Source organism: Homo sapiens, chromosome 18, assembly GCF_000001405.40.
Source record: "Homo sapiens chromosome 18, GRCh38.p14 Primary Assembly".
In the NCBI taxonomy this organism is placed as follows: Eukaryota; Metazoa; Chordata; class Mammalia; order Primates; family Hominidae; genus Homo; species Homo sapiens.
In genome coordinates this window covers 53,239,325-53,257,361 of record NC_000018.10, presented here as the reverse complement: position 1 = coordinate 53,257,361, position 18,037 = coordinate 53,239,325, and the positions used below count along the sequence as shown (strand labels likewise).

General features: G+C 37.2%; 1 protein-coding gene across 5 annotated transcripts in view, besides 1 other annotated feature; it reads right to left on the bottom strand.

Moving 5' to 3' along the window:
* Positions 1 to 18,037, bottom strand: part of DCC (DCC netrin 1 receptor) — a 1,195,703-nt gene that overhangs the window by 278,538 nt on the left and 899,128 nt on the right. The gene's annotated exons all lie outside the window — the stretch shown is intronic.
* Positions 2,634 to 3,225: an enhancer, noted in NCBI's record as "OCT4-NANOG hESC enhancer chr18:50780507-50781098 (GRCh37/hg19 assembly coordinates)". NCBI's record gives its function as "activates a minimal SCP1, AML or CMV promoter by ChIP-STARR-seq in primed H9 embryonic stem cells {active_cell/tissue: H9 hESC(primed)}" and the evidence as "EXISTENCE:reporter gene assay evidence [ECO:0000049][PMID:30033119]".

The window sequence follows — 18,037 nt, the reverse complement described above, 5'->3', positions numbered from 1 at the left end:
CTATCTATGACAAACCCACAGCCAATATCATACTGAATGGGCAAAAACTGGAAGCATTCCCTTTGAAAACTGGCACAAGACACGGATGCCCTCTCTCACCACTCCTATTCAACATAGTGTTGGAAGTTCTGGCCAGGGCAATCAGGCAGGAGAAGGAAATAAAAGGTATTCAATTAGGAAAAGAGGAAGTCCAATTGTCCCTGTTTGCAGATGACATGATTGTACATCTAGAAAACCCCATTGTCTCAGCCCAAAATCTCCTTAAGCTAATAGGCAACTTCAGCAAAGTCTCAGGATACAAAATCAATGTGAAAAAATCACAAGCATTCTTATACACCAATAACAGACAAACAGAGAGCCAAATCATGAGTGAATTCCCATTCACAATTGCTTCAAAGAGAATAAAATACCTAGGAATACAACTTACAAGGGATGTGAAGGACCTCTTCAAGGAGAACTACAAAACACTGCTCAATGAAATCAAAGAGGATACAAACAAATGGAAGAACATTCCATGCTCATGGGTAGGAAGAATCAATATTGTAAAAATGGCCATACTGCCCAAGGTAATTTATAGATTCAATGCCATCTCCATCAAGCTACCAATGACTTTCTTCACAGAATTGGGAAAACCTACTTTAAAGTTAGTATGGAACCAAAAAAGAGTCCGCATTGCCAAGTCAATCCTAAGCCAAAAGAACAAAGCTGGAGGCATCATGCTACCTGACTTCAAACTATACTACAAGGCTACAGTAACCAAAACAGCATGGTACTGGTACCAAAACAGAGATATAGACCAATGGAACAGAACAGAGCCCTCAGAAATAATGCCGCATATTACAACCATCTGATCTTTGACAAACCTGACAAAAACAAGAAATCAGGAAAGGATTCCCTATTTAATAAATGGTGCTGGGAAAACTGGCTGGCCATATGTAGAAAGCTGAAACTGGATCCCTTCCTTACACCTTATACAAAAATTAATTCAAGATGGATTAAAGACCTACATGTTAGACCTAAAACCATAAAAACCCTGAAGAAAACCTAGGCAATGCCATTCGGGGCATAGGCACGGGCAAGGACTTCATGTCTAAAACACCAAAAGCAATGGCAACAAAAGCCAAAATTGACAAATGGGATCTAATTAAACTAAAGAGCTTCTGCACAGCAAAAGAAACTACCATCAGAGTGAACAGGCAACCTACAGAATGGAAGAAAATTTTTGCAATCTACTCATCTGACAAAGGGCTAATATCCAGAATCTACAATGAACTCAAACAAATTTACAAGAAAAAAACAAACAACCCCATCAAAAAGTGGGTGAAGGACATGAACAGACACTTCTCAAAAGAAGACATTTATTCAGCCAAAAGACACATGAAAAAATGCTCATCATCACTGGCTATCAGGCAAATGCAAATCAAAACCACAATGAGATACCATCTCACACCAGTTAGAATGGTGATCATTAAAAAGTCAGGAAACAACAGGTGCTGGAGAGGATGTGGAGAAATAGGAACAGTTTTACACTGTTGGTGGAACTGTAAACTAGTTCAACCATTTTGGAAGTTGGTGTGGCGATTCCTCAGGGATCTAGAACTAGAAATACCATTTGACTCAGCCATCCCGTTACTGGGTATATACCCAAAGGAATATAAAACATGCTGCTATAAAGACATGCACATGTATGTTTACTGCGGCACTATTCCCAATAGCAAAGACTTGGAACCAATCCAAATGTCCAACCATGATAGACTGGATTAAGAAAATGTGGCACATATACACCATGGAATACTATGTAGCCATAAAAAAGGATGAGTTCATGTCCTTTGTAGGGACATGGATGAAGCTGGAAACCATCATTCTAAGCAAACTATCGCAAGACAAAAAACCAAACACCACATGTTCTCACTGATAGGTGGGAAGTGAACAATGAGGACACATGGACACAGGAAGGGGAACATCACACACCATGGCCTGTTGTGGGGTGGGGGGAGGGGGGAGGGATAGCATTAGGAGATATACCTAATGTTAAATGAAGAGTTAATGGGTGCAGCACACCAACATGGTACATGTATACATATGTAACAAACCTGCATGTTGTGCACATGTACCCTAAAACTTAAAGTATAATAATAATAGAAAAAAAAACAAAAAACCTCCCCACATATCCAAGACAAGTGGACAGAAGGGCCCGAAAGGCCTGGGATTCTGATAGGAATACCCAGGAAGCTAGAAGTGAATGCTTCCCAGCTGATCCCTGGGAATATCTTGGGTGTCAACAGGAAAGCACTTTCAGACGTGGACATAATAGCTGACTCATTGTTTCCAATAGAGGAGTGGGTCAACCTGCAGTTACCTGAACAACTGGGCTAGACTAGAATAGGGCAGGGCTCTAAAGTCTTCCAATTTAGGGGGAAATGCCTGTCCTATATGTAGTCCCTAAGGTGTGTTAAATTAGGATATGTTATATGCTTTCTCTTATTGCAACAATATTACTATGTTTCATAGAAATATTGCTGATGGATGCACAGCATTAATAATCTCACAAATAATGCTTATACCTACGCATGATTCCATCTCACCCTGAGTGAGGTTTAAGACCACTTGTTTAATAAGATCCAGGACAATTCTGAACGAAAGGGGACATTCAGAATAATCACTAGAGAATTATTTTAAATGCACCTGCTAATAAACTTTCCCTAGGATCCTGCATGGGAATAGAACTGGGTGTGATGGGCTTGGCATGTATATTTTTATAGAGTGTCACACCCCTGATTAAGAACCAGTTAGGAATAGGGAAGAAGGACAAGTATTCCCAGGAATGTAGATTTCATCTTTATACTTTGAAAGAGGGATTCAATGGGACTGAAGTGGGCCCTGAATTTGCATTTTAATGGTGATTCAGGTGCTGATAGCTCTGGGTGCTGATAGCTCTGGGATCTACCTTTCTGAAGAAAACTAGCTAAAGAAGTCCAGTACAAATTGGGGTTGATACCATCCCAGAGGCAGACCCCACCCAGGTATTCATGACCACTTTAGTAATAGGCGAATCTGAAACCCATTATCTTCTTTCAAGTGTGCTGAGTGGATTCCCTACCTTTCCAGGAAAAAGTTATCATTTCAGAGCAAAGAACCATGGCAGCTTGGAGCCCTGTTGCTCAGATGACTTTTTATTTACGCTAAGAGTGAGGATATTTGCTTGATACAAAAATAAATATGGTTGTCCCCACACACATTAAATAATCATTCTTTTTTACAATGGCAGAACCCTGGAAACATCCCTTGGCTCATTAGCTTTTACAACTCTCCTGATGTTTTTGACTTCTGAGGCTATATGACACTTTATGCTAATACATTGGAGGGAAAACACACTTCATTTAATCAGGCATTGTTTAGACACCTGCCATCTAACACTGATTCCTATATACCCTTCATCACCTGTTCCAGATGAAGCATCAGTTCTCAAATTAACTCATTAGTCATGTAGAATAGCATGCATGGCTGGGAGTGGAGGAAGGGATGATTTCTTATACTAAGGTAAATAAAAATGTCATGGATTTATAATTAGTTTCAATCTAACTCCTTAAGTCTGTATGAGAGGTGTCTTAGTCTAAGAAATTTGATCCACATTTTCTTCCTGAAACTGCTACCAAGCTGGCTTTGAGAAAGCTCATGTTGTTTTCCATTTAAAAATAGAAACAATATGACATAATTGACAGAATAGTTAATTAGTGATTTTTTTTCAGAGTATTTTCAACTGCTTAGAGAAGGGCAATATTAATAAAGAGTATTGTTATAATGAGACCAAACTGGTCTATACATTATTTGAGGCGGTACGCCACTTGTTTTAGAGTTAGACATTTTCAACCTAAGAGGACATTCAGAATCACCTTTAATTGAAGCTGTGATTCTAATATTTAATACTTGAGTGGCCTTGGACAAGTTATTTAATCATGTCCTATCCTGTTCCTCATCTGCAAAATGGAGATAATAACAACTTCTACCCCATAGGGATTTTTCAGTATTAAGTAAAATAATACTTATGAAATGCTTAAAATCATGGTTGGCATAAAATAAGCTTTTAATAAATATTCACCATTAGTATAGGAAGAGGGGGTGGACGGAAACTTCAACAACACAAAGAAATATATAAAAGAAAGAGTGCTGTGTTGTTAGATTTTCAAAATATTCCGGATCCTACTGACTGTCTCGGTTTGGATCATTTACATCTGTGGTTGAATTAAGCTCATTTTTTTCATATTTATTTATGTATCTATATGTTATATTCTGACATACAATGATATTTTTGATTAATACGAAAATGGTACATGAATAAAATGAGTAATTTATCAGGAGTCAGGAAATATAAGTGCTAATCCTATTATATCATTAGCTATGTGACTTTGGAGAAGCATGTTATAATTCTATCCTTTAGTTTTCTAAACTTATTTTGTTAAAGCAAAATTACAGCATTGGATGCAGTCAAAATATATTATACAAATGCAAACTATCTCCATAAATTGTTTTGAAAATAAACATTTTTTTCCAAATTGCTCATTTAACCCAACTTAGGGCTTTAGTCTGTTCTGTTTTGATCAATAATTGGGTCTTTTATGTGCTCCGCTCTCCAGATAGACAAGTCAACATCTTGAACTCAGTGCCTTCCACTTCTCCCTTAATCTTGAACAGCCCTTCTCCTAGTTCTGAGCATAGAGTAGTAACAAGAAAGATGCTTGGTGATGGTTCACACCTCATTGTTGCTATTGCTTGGTCTAGCACAATTTCATTATTTCTCATGGAATGTTTGAATCTTCTTTAGATTGCACTAACTAGAAATTCTTAAATTGCCTTTTGGGGTTTGAAAATAAATGTGTTGTTTTGGTAATAAGTATTAAATTTAAGATATTTTTATGAAACCCAATTTGACAACTATTTTTCTGTCAACATACTGTCACATGAACCACCTAAACCCCCAGAGTGATTAAGTCTCAGTCTTTCTTTGGGGTCATTCTTTTTCTTAACTCTATTTTTATTGTGGTGTAATACTTTATTTCTATTTTATTCTGTCTCTGTATTGTAGATCGTCTAAAATCCTATGCAGTATGTAAATGAGCACATGCAAAATACATAAACACCTAAATGACATAGTATTTCAAGGGGTTTCTTGCAACAAATGAAGGTCAAATACAGAGTATAAGAGTGTGAAGCAGCGTAATTGATGTTTTTATTAGACAAAATCATTTGACTTAAATCTGACAAAATTTTCTTAGATCCTATCTTGATTGATTTTATGTTAAAAATATAGGAAACATACATGGATACATACATATTGTGGAGGATCAGACCATGCCAGAGAACATCTTCCTGGGATTATTCTAGATCCAGCCCAGTGGGGTGAAATGAAGAGACCTCAGCAGAAAAAGGTAGTGGCAACACCCTGGAAATAGTCAGTGTTTTGTGATATCCAGGGGTAAGGACAATATACGGAAGTGAAAACATGGGAGGATGCATTTATTCACCTAATTCAATATACTGAAGATGACAAGTCATGAATGATGGTGGGATATGGTGCTTCATCAATGAGCACATTTCTCTAACCACTAATGATATTCAGCATCTATTCTTCTTATTATTGGCCATTCCTATACCTATGTGGTACAGTGTCTACTTGCATGCACACACACACTCACACACGCAATTTGATAGTGCTGTATGTAACTTTTTAAAAAACCCAAAAAAGAGTATGTGATTTCAAAGAGAATCCATACTTATTCTAAATGAAAAGATTAGAATTAGATAAATGTAAGAAGACTCCATTTGAGCTGAGGTTTGAGTTACAGGTATGATTTGACAAGTTCTTGATTATTTAGCATATAAATGCACAAATCATATTTGTGTTATTGTTAGTTATATCCATAGGACATAACACAATGCTCATTTCCATTTAAATGGCTTAATTCTAATTTAAAGATAAAGAAATACAAAAGTGAGCGGAGTCCAATGTGGAATAGGTAAGAAGGTACGTTCAAAACAAAAGACAGATATTGTACAGTAGGAAAACAAGATTATGGAAAATGTTACCTTGCCAGGATAAGATGAGGCTGTTTGTAAGCATTAGGAAATCATGGTGAATTTTTAAGCGGTGAACAGACAGAATCACAGAGGTGCTTTAACAACATCTGTCAGAAAGCAGGGGTTGGGGGGAGCCGATGATAGATTCTAATAATCAGATCAGGGAATAAGACTAGAGATGATGGTGTAAGAGACGAAGGAGTCTCCATTTAAGGGAACTATAAGAGAAAGGGAGGCCACAAAGGTGATGCAAGACAGATGGAGAGAAGGACAAGAAGCCAAATATAGAAACTCATTCCAGGAAAAGGGAATGGTAAACCATGCACAACAAGGCTCATCTGTTCGGAAAGAACAGCATAGAGGTCACGGATGACCTCGATGAGAACAGGTTTAGGAAAATGATGCAGCAGAAGCCAGATAGTAGGGTTTCAGGAATCAAGGGAGATAACGGAAGTGGAGATCCTGAACATGGGTAACATTTTCAAAAATATTGCTATGAAGGAAAGAACAGAGAGTAAGCAGTTAAAGCAACTTTTTGTTAATATGGTAGACAGTTGATTACAGTCCAGTGAAAATGAGAAAAAAGCCACTGAGTGGGCAGTTAAAGATATAAGAGAGGAAAGACAATCAGAGTGAGACCCCTGAGAAATCTGTAGGAGATGGAACACAGGAGAGGAAGGACACTAGGAAGGATGTATCTTCCAGAAGCCTGTGGAAGAAAGGGGAGGAGACTAGGGGCAGATATTGCCTGTAGGTCTGGGAGCTGGGCAGACACCAGATCAGAGTGAAACAAGGCAGAGGGACCCTAGGTATAGTAAAGAAAGTCAGATTCCTTAGAGACAGCTGATTGCCAAGTCACTTGTCCTAGAGTGAAACTACAGTAGAGCTGCAACCCCAAGCACAATTCAGGGTGCAGTCATTTATCTTGATTAAAAAAGAAAACTGAAATAAACTAAAATCTCTCATTTTTTTAAATTAGTTTTTAATCTGAAATGGAAGCTTTCATGGTAAAACTTTATAATTTCCCGTGTGGAGTACAGAATCTATATAGTGAATATTTCACCTTTAAGAAATTATAGTAATAGAAGCCACTTAACCTGATCATCAGTATGTCTTAAAGCTACTTCTTGAGGGAAATTCAACTCCACCCCATTTTAAAAAAACGGAACAGTTCTCTCTTAAGGGCAGAATTGCATCAAGAGTCTGATTTTTAAGATGTATTAATGTCTTTTCAACATCATAGAGTATCTGAACTTCAGATCTTCACGAAGAGCCTTATTTTCAAATTCTGTCTTCACTCCTATCCAAAATCCAATTAAATTTGAGCAGAGTATTCTGTGATTAAAAATCCAACTTGATTTTATGACTGTAAAAATCTGATTATAAGAGAGCAACATACCTGGAAGGCATTACATTAGCTTCCTTATAAATGTCTTCAGAGATTTACAATTAATCATGATGCCATTAACTTTTATTGAAGGTTGAAATAAGTGCTGACTATATACAACCACATGGTTGCATTTTGGCTAAAATTTTCCAAGAAAGAAATCTAACAATATAATATTGTTTTTTAAAATGTGGTTCTTAGGGAACACATTTCTTTCTACTGTTACGCCTCCTATTATTCCATAGACAAGGAAAAGTATGTAATTCACTGTTTATTTTTGTCTTAGATGGTAGGCAGTTCAGAATCAAATTTGGTACAACAAATGAGTAATTAATTCTACCCCACATTTCCAGGGCAATAATATCTACTTTATCTTCATCAATTTTACACATATGTTTTAATCCCTATTTTTTTCATGAAATAGACTTCTACTACCCCGAGGTCGTAGACATAGCCCTTGATCTGTCATAAAACCCTAATTGTAAAAATGTCAAAAACACGTGACTAGATGGAACCTCTTCCATCAATATTTAGCCTGAGACTTCTCTTAGAATGGTACCCACCTAGGTCACTTTGGGGTACAACACATACATTGGCAATTTATTTTTGTTTGCTAGAAGATAGCTATAATATTTGTTTGTTCAAATAAAAAAAACACATACTTTTACTAAATGATGTAACAAAATTGACAATGTAGTGAACCAACTCTGCAAACTGTGTAAATTCCTAAAGCTCATTAAAAACTATGGGAATCCACATTACACGTTCATGCCTAGCCTGATCCAGCTGTCCTAAAGCAAGTTAAACTCAGCAGGAAAGCAGTAAAATTTCTATGCTGACATTTTTCATGTGAAAGGAATACAGACTAACTCTAGAAGGTGCCAAACAGAACCAGAGCAGTCATCCTGATTTTCCATCCACATAAGGTAAAATTGGAACTTTCAGGCAAATATATTATTTGTTCTTAAATGCCAAACAAAAATTCCCCCTAAAATACATAGTTGCCAATGTAATTGAATTATTTAGATATTTGCATTTAAAACAATTTTTGTGTTTATGTACTGACGAGAAAGAATATTGTCAATCCTTGGGGGATAATAAGGGAATAGATGATTTTACTTTCTTATTTTAAAGCCATCATCCAATTTCTCTGGCTAGAGATTTTGTATCAGGATGGTGCTTTTGATATTACATATTAGCAACTTTATTGAAACTGGCATTAAAAAACAAAGTGTTTAATTGGCTGAATGAACTGGAATTGCAGAGGTGTGGCAGGGGAATGTCACACATGACAGGAGCCAGCTCTGGCTTTCGTTCTTCGCTATTTTCCAGGCTTGGTTATCTCCTATGGAGAAGGATTGTCCTCAATCTGGCCTTCTTCATGATCACAAATTAGCTACTACCAGTTGGGAAGAAGGACAAGATGTGTTCTTGATCACTTCCAGTGGGAGAGAGTGAAAGTGGTTTTCCATTGCTACCCTCTAAAAATGGGGAAGAACTTTCCTAGGACCCTCTAGTAATCCTTTCCTTAAGTCTCATTGGCCACAGTATGCCCACAGGACCATTCTGGGGGTAATCACTGACAAAGGTTTAGGATTTCCAGAATTGTCATAAATTAATCTGGGCCCATCTCTGAATGTTCAGGTCGGGTCACCATCTTCCAACATATACATAAAGAGATGGGGGAAGAGATAGATAAATGATCAAAATAGAGCTGCTGTTAGGAAAGACAAGAGCAGGATGGCTGTTAGTCAACAAACAGTTCATATATATTTATTCTGTATTTATGGAACACCCAACATTAACCCATTTATTAATCCAGTAAACATTTATTGAGCATCTATTCCTGAACATTCCTGACATTCTGCTAAACCAAGGGATTCAAAGAGATCAGACATGGAGCAGTTAATGGGTTGACATGTATGGCTGAAAGGTCATGGGACTTGAGAAAGTCAAGAAATTATGAAACTAGAGTATTGGATGGGATGTCCACACGGATATTAAAGCACTTAGACTTAGGGCTAAAGACAGGAAAAGAATTCTGTGGCTCTGTTGAAAATAAAAAGAATTTTCTGAAGTTCAATAGACTTTAAAGGAAGCTTCAACTTCTAAGGGTAACCAAACCAAATAGACTAGTTTCCAAGCAAGAGTGGTCTCAAAAGCCCACACTCAAGAGTGTGCATTAAATCATTTGGCAAATGGTTAACTTCAAACAGTAAGAATTTTAAAAATTAACATCTATAAAAATGTATTTAATACGTTTAATAGCTACATTAAATCAATCTACATCTTTATGTGACTCCTGCTACACTCTAAACAAATAAACAAAGTATTAGCAACCATGACATTATTTTTCTCTTTAATTGTCAAAGCCTGTATTGTGCTAGAGACTCTCCTATGCTCTTTCCTATTCGTAAGAGTAAGCTATGAAAGTAGAGGAGTTTAATGTCGGTTTGTAAAAATAATCTTCACTATTTATAAGCACATATAATTTTCCTGGAAATAGCCACCTTTGCACCAAATTTTAAATACAACATTTTATGGGATGTCTAAACAATATTACTCACCACACGGTGTCTTCTTTCTGGACACTCAAGGGGGTCATATTTCTCAGCTTCCTTAGACTTAGGATCAAGAAGAATCTCACCGTATTTTGGCCAATTGAATGTGGGCAGAAGAAAAAGCCACTTCTAGGTTTCATTCTTAAAAATAACATATGACAATGTCCAATTTTTAAGTAATCTAAGGTTGTCCTCTTCCAAGTCCAAACTGTGTGTATAGTTTCATGGCTCATGATACTCTGCCATGTAGCCTTTACTTCAGTAGAAGTGTAATGCTCTATTCTCTGAGTCTTCCCAGATGCTCCCATTTCTTTGACTAGATCTCCAATGTTTCCTTTACTTAGAACACTCAAGTTCCTTGGTTCCCACCACCTTATATGAAACCCAACCATCATTTATAGGCTATACTAAAGTTCATCTTCTTTTCTAACTGCATTTAGAGCCCTAGCTTGGACTTATTTCCATGAATTCCCAACTCCAGGCAACTGTTCCATCTGCTACTGTTCAAACGCACTTTATAATACTCAGGCTTTATGTAACTAATTCGGCTATTCTACTACTAAAAACATACCATGCAATTCTACTCTCCATTCCCATGCAACTTATAGTCATTATTCATGACCTATATAAAAATCCTGCTTTGGGAAACTGTTCTTGACCAACTTGGCCTTGAAATACATTCTGAATTCTCATAGCAGTTCTGCATAAATATTTGAGTTAATAATAAATGCCCATGAGGCAACATTGTCTATGGTGTTGTACTGGTTTATTTAAATATATATATTTTTACTTTTAATTCACCTGTTTTTTTTTTCTTCACTAAGTGACTGCATTAGTCCAGATAAAATAAAGAAATATGAGCTGAGATATTTATCATTGCATTTCCTTGTTGCCTGACCCTTTCTCAGATCCAAGTAGTGATGTTCTGACAACCTCCTCCCACATACACACAAGATAGCTGAATATTTTAATATGTAAAAGATGAAATCCTAGGAAGCCAGTTAATAGTTAGGGCTATAAATATTACATTTGAAAGAAAGTGAGTAAATAGCCAGGAAACCCCTGCTTGAGAATAAAATTTGCCTCAGCTGAAATATAAATAGATTAGATTTTAATGAATCTCAAAGAAGGGTGCTAAAGCCTGGCCTCCTGACTGATTCTAAGAACAGTAGTGGCCAGTAACAGAAATCCAAAAGGTTAAGGAGAAATCTGAGAAATGAGGGGACCTATGCTTTCATCCCTGGGTAAACGTCATGATGATTGCAAGTCTCAGGGAGAACTATTCAATACCGTAAGTGTGCTCTGAGTAGCAGACATGGTGTTAGGTAGGAACCTGAGAAAGCATGACAGCTGACACCCAGGCAGACCTGTGAAGGTATCCAAAATGCTCAGCCAACTCCTGGAGTCACTCTGAGAGGCTTACAACCTGAGGTAGCCAGGGAGTCAGGATGAAGAAAATATAAACTAAACTACGAAAGCCTGACAAGTAAAACTCAAGGTATGACTGTGACCTTGACGTTTGCATAGAGATAGAAAATAAGATACTCCTTATTGCTTAAGACTGTTGAGATTTTTGTTCTTTCCAGTCTAAGGTATTCTAACTGATACACAAGGATTACTGTTAAATCTTTTGCTATTAAATCTATATTAGATATCTGTATTAGACTTGCTTAAGGAGACTGACTCCATGCCTAAAAATATACCATCGAAAGGAGAAACATTATACTCCTAGGGCCTGAATTTGAACTGTAAACCGACATATCTGATGTTTTTCTGCATCTCTCATTACTTCAAGGAAATGTATTTATTTCACCAGTGCTTACATAATTCTATTCATATGCTAGAAACAGTTCCAAGTACATTACCAACATAAGCTCATGGATACACATAAAAACTCTGTAGGGCAGGTGATGTTACTTTTCCACACATAACAAATGAGTAAACTGAGGCACAGAGCATACAGAACACAGCCTAAGGTAGTCTGTCTTCATAGTCTGTGCTTTTAACCACTAACTATGCTGCTTCTTTCTCAAACTTTATTTTATCGGACTTAGATTCCAAATAAAATTATACCTGAGTCACAATATATAAAGCAGATGACAGAGAAGCAGCTCTGATTGAAATGGGGAAGGAAGATTTGAACAAATCATAACTTCACAGGTTTCAGCTTCTTTTCTGCAAAAATATAGGGGGTGAATTAGGTGAATTCTTAGATTTCTTCTAGCATGGACTATAGTAAGATGGTATTTCTGGCATCCAAATATATGACTCTAATTACATTTTCTCATGAAACTGAGGTTCAGACAGAAGTGAGAAAATTTAAAGATCACAAGTAACTAAGCCACCACTGATGCTAATTCACATTTAGATTGAGAATATTAAAATGTTTAATCATTTAAAATGATAGGATATATTGCTTTTATCCCCTAAAGGCAGGATGAATGACTTAATATAGTATAGGCAATCTAAATTTGGGTATCTCATAGACAGTATCACACACTGTGATTCTGGGGTAAAGATAAATTAGGAATATGTAAACCAGATTCCAAATTGTGACTTCTAGCCTCTACAAAGGGACCCCAATGAACCATAGCTTTGTGTAATCCCATTCCACTTGGTGCACTCCCTCTTGAAATCCAGCTGCCATATTGTGAGAAGTCCAAGCCTCAAGGAGAGGCCACGTGGAGATAAGAGGCACATAAGTGAACAGTCCCAAATGAGTTCCCGACAAAGCCAACATCAGCTGCCAACAATGCAAGTAAGTCATCTTGTATTCTTCAGTCAAGTCAAATCCCTAGATATAGACTTTGCTTATGTCACATAAAGCAGAAGAACCACACAGCTGAACCCAGTCAACACACAAAATCACAAGTGATAATAAGTTATTGTTTTAAGCCACTAAGTTTTAAGGTGGTATGTTCCATAACAATAGATCACCAAAACATATCTGTACTAGGACACTTGGTTCAAATCCTATAAAATTATCCTGAGGATTGCATGGAGCTACTTGGTAAAAGGAACCCCATCACTGGTTTTTAACTGTAAGTCCATGCAATAACATACTGGAAGTAGAGCATCATCCCTTCTGTAGGTGATCCCTATTTTAAAGGGAAATATTTTTCAGATTTATAAAATGAAATTAAGATAATAAAGTATCAAACTTCCAGTGAAGAACATTCAGTTTTCCATGGTGGAAAGAAAAAAACTCAGTGTGACAAGAGAAAGTGAATTGAAAAATCCGTCACATCTGGTTACATCTGCTGCAGTATAATAGCCTGATATCTAATGATACAAAACTGTGTATATTATGCAGAAGCAAACTCATATTTTTCATAATCATCTGGGAACCTATCTGCTGCTTTTGATGATTGCTTAGAATTTTAGGGCATTGCATTTGTCAAGTTAAATTCTGAGGACAGTTCATAAGCTTGCTTTTTTGGCTAACGAGAAGATTTGTGTGTTGAGTTTATAAAATATTTAATAAAAAGAAAGAGAAGACTTTTATGTTTCCATTTCTTCAGAGGAATCAGCTGAATCGGGGAGTCAGATCTGTTGTTCTTAACCCTTCACTTCAGTTGAGTGACCCTGTTTTGTATACAAACATTATGTCGTTAATACTCCATGATAATCTCAGAGGTAGAGCCTGAATCCTGATGATAGTTTCCAAGCGTTCAGCAGCATTAAGTTTCCTTGCAGCTTCTTAAACCACATAATCTGCCAGCAAATTATTCTTCTTCCCAGAGAGCACTCTGAGTTTGCCAAGTTTACATCCTTTGATTAAACTAATATGGAAGCTACTGTGAACAGTTCAGAAACAAAGAGGCAACTAGTCCCTGCCTCATCTCATTTGTTAGCCTCTGGTGGGTTAGAGAATAATACTTGTCTCCTTGGTAAGCCTTTGAAATGATTTTCAATGTCTGGCACAAGGAGATCCTTAAAACGTGATTGCTAAAGACAGCAGCCAAGCACCAATTCCTTCCTGAACTCTCAGGGTTTGGATTGATATGTTTCTCAATGGTCACTTTTGAAGTGTCTTCCCAGCTGTGCTACATGATTCTTCTTCTTTAAGAAAGAGGTGTTTACTTTCTTCCCCCAGAAAATCCACAATACAGTCAGATGTTGTCTTCACACTCCTAATGAGGACCCGACTCCTTGATAGCTCAAGCGACATTTCCTTCCTTGCCAGCATCTATGCCACATAAACCAAAATAGGACTGTTTTCTCATCATTCTGCTTTTCTTTTCAATCCAGAAATGCTCACAGCTTTGAGTCACATCAGTTCAACATGTTAAAAATGTTCCTTCTTGAATCATAATCAGACAACTTTTATAGCTTTGGGGTCCTCTCACCTACCACTTATGGTACTGCCATATCTCAAAATGAGCACTGACAAGTGAGAGCTTGCACCCTGCAAGTTCACTGGCCAGATGCACAAACACACACACACACACACACACACACACACACCTACTTGTCATCATAGGTCTGGACACCTTTATCCCCTAGGGAGGATAAGGATACTTTTATTCAGTGCCTATAAAAAGTATGTGAAAGATTGGATAATGTGATACTGGCACATTTTTTTTGGAAAACTGACCCATGGTGTGTATCAGGCCTGTCCAGCATATTTTGTAGAGATGTGTAAACTCTTAATGCCAACAACAGGTTGTCATTGACAGTGGTATCCTATTACTTTCTTGCATTTATTTGGTTCTTAGATACTATCATGATAGGGTTAAATTTCATTTTCTATGTCCCCAATAAGAATAAATACTCTTTACAGGCAATGGCCTTACCTTATCATGAAGAAAGCTTACAGTAGTAGGTATCTAATATATAGTCACTGAGTAGGTCATTTTGTATATTTACCCCCTCTTCAACTTACTTGGGAAAATGGAGCAGATATCGATTGAACAAATACTATGTTTCAGATAATGTGTTAGGTGTTTTATGTATGCCAATTCATTTAGTCCTAAATGCAAATTAGAACAACTACAAAGTAATATCTTCCTGGCTGTCCCATTGGAAACTTATATCATTAAGCATATAGGTCTTTTTGTAGGTTGTTTACAGGTCTACACTAGCCAATTAGCTCTCCTTTACTTTCTAAATCAAATGTTTTAACACACTTGTCTTCCCTTGAAATTTGCAGCTGCTGTAGTTTCCCTTTGTTACCAGTGATTGATTAAGACTCAGTCTTCCTGTTTGTTCTTTACTACAAGCCCACCATTTCTTCCCTGTTTGAAAAATTTTGTTGCAACTAAAGAGAAGCAGGAAAACTTTTTAAAAAGACTGCGCATGCTTTAAGAAGTCCTCTTCTTAAGGAGATTTTGAGCTGAGACTATGGGGTTTTCTAAATATAAAATCATGTCATCTGCAAACAGGGACAATTTGACTTCCTCTTTGCCTGATTGAATACTATTACTGGAGATCTATAGGACTACCTTCTATTGAGGAGTCTGGCTTCTAGCTAAAACTCCATGTGTGATTTTCCAGACCTGGCCATGGTCAGTCAAAAAGGCTTTGCCTGGCAGATCACACAGAGGGAACCTGCCTTCCCCATACCAGACTTAGTGCGCAGCCACTGCAACCTCCAAAGGAAGTTGCAGGCAAGGACTCATTCGCCCTGGCTGGCCATGCTCTTATGCACATCTGTATTTCCAGCCCAGGCACCATCATTCAGAGGTTCTTTGTCTGGGCCTTCAAGCAGAGGTACCTCTGCCTGGTTCTCTTTATGGCGGAAGCAGAAGAAAACCTTGAAGACACTTTTCTCCACTCTCAGTGTGCAGTAATTTCCCATTCTTAGCTCTTTCCTCTCCACCTCTCCAGCCCCAGGGACCATGAAACTGCGGGAAGCTTTGGTTCAGAGCTCCCTCATCAGGGAGACAACCCCTTGTCTATGTTGGTCCACTTGACCCTCCACAGGTGCTGCTCCGTGGGGGAAAGCAGGACTGGGGAGAATGGGTGTGTTCTCTGGTTAACCTCTTCCTTGTACAATTGCAGTTCAGTGATTAAAGGCTTGACTGTCACTTTCATCTCGGCTTGTTTTCTTGATCAGCTAATGGCTACTCTGACCTGAAGCAGATCAGATTTCTCCAGCTTAGCCTAGCCCTTGACAGTCACAAATTTAAGATACCAAGCCACCTTCTCAAGCCCCACCTTTAGACTTCACCTTACACCTCCTCATCTCTCTGCCTTTGATCACTCTCATCCATTCTCCTGGAATAACATTACTTCCCAGCCTCAGGGTCAAATTGTTTATGGGAACTAAGGTCCTTTCAGAAGCTCAAAGATCTCGGTTACCAAGAAGGTAAGTAATATTGCTGAGGACTTTCCAACTCCCCAGCACATTTCAGTGGCTCTTCTGCACCAAGAGCATAGGCTAGTGCCCTAACAATACTTCTATGCATTTAAACAATATGCAAACAGTACAACAAGACTCTCTAAAAGTGAAAATGTTATCTGTAACTATTACAAATATCTGAAAAATGGATCAACTAAATGCAATCTTTTTAAAAATAGAATCTGACAAGCCAGTTTGTGAGTGTAGCCATAGCCTCAGAGAAAAATGGAAATATTAAATGATAAAAATGATAATGACAACCTCTTCTAGGTGCTGTGCATTTAGAGGCATTATCTTATTTAGTCCCAACGACAATCTCATGAGAGTTGGAACCTAGTATTAGTCTCATTTTACAGATAAGGGAAACAATGGCTAGATTGTTAATTAGCTATAAAAAGTCAAGCAAATGAAAAGAGGGACTTAATATTGAGTCTGACACCAAGACCTTTTATGCCTTGAAGATCACTTTTTAATACATTGTCTACAAATATTCCTACCTGGATAACAGGGGACAGCTCCTTCTGATCCTTCCAGTGGTAAACCCAGGATTGGTAGCTTTTATTCCTCTGCTTTTCATATATAAAATTTATTGTAACTATGACAATCACAGAGATGATTGTTGATCCCACAATTCTTGATAAGACATAAGATGAATTGAGGCAGCCTCAGAAATGGGAAAATATTCAGTGTAAGGAGTAAAGATGGAAGCTTGCTATTGACTGTTTTTGTGGCTTTTTCATTTATTTTTAAATATGAGCATGTCTATAAGTTTATCTGATTTTTCTTCCCCTTTTAAAAACATCTCCAGAAAAAAATCTAGTCTAATATAAAAGTAATTATAACTTTCATAGTAATTATAACTTTCATATTTATTCTTCTGGAAAACAGTAGAGGCATGAGTGCTTTTGATTGCATATTACACATTGGGGAAAAAGTGTTTTGTTGTTTTTTTTTTTTTTTTTTTTTTTTAACTCTAGAACTAGAATTTTGAATGTCTAAATGTTTTTTTATATTTTCTCACCATTCTCCTCTAACAAAAATAAAAAGCATTGCCTTCGTTGCTCTGCCCTTGTTCTGATTAAAATGTGTATTATGCTACCATTCTACTTATGTAGCACTTTTACATGCTAAGATAAAAGGCATGAATTATATTATCAGCCCTTGGTTATTCAAAATAAAATAATTTTTTGAATAGGCCATGTAAAATACTGTATATCATTTTGAACACCCTTGAATTGAAACCAAGAAAAATTGGAGGTCTTTTCCCACAATTCTCTGATTCCTGGGATCAAATATTAAGCATTCAAAACATTTGAATTCTTCTACTCAAGGTAGAAAATCAGTGAGGTTTTGTTTGACATTTTCAAATATTTTTCTTTGTGTTCATGTCAAAAACACCAATCAAAGGGCCCAGTGATGTAAGCCCCTGTGCACCTTTCTCTGGGTGCGTTCTCCCTCATTTCTGTCTCTGCTCCGTGAATTCACTCACCTATCAGCACAACCATCATCTCTCATCCTGGCCTTTTGTGACATGAGCTATCACTAAAGAGCTTAGAGCAGAGAATATGATTAACTGGAAACAAGGAAGAAAACTGAAGTAACTCATGGTGCAGTGACTCTGTGGTTTGAAAAACCCCAAAATGATCTACCTGGGAGGAACCATAAAGGGTT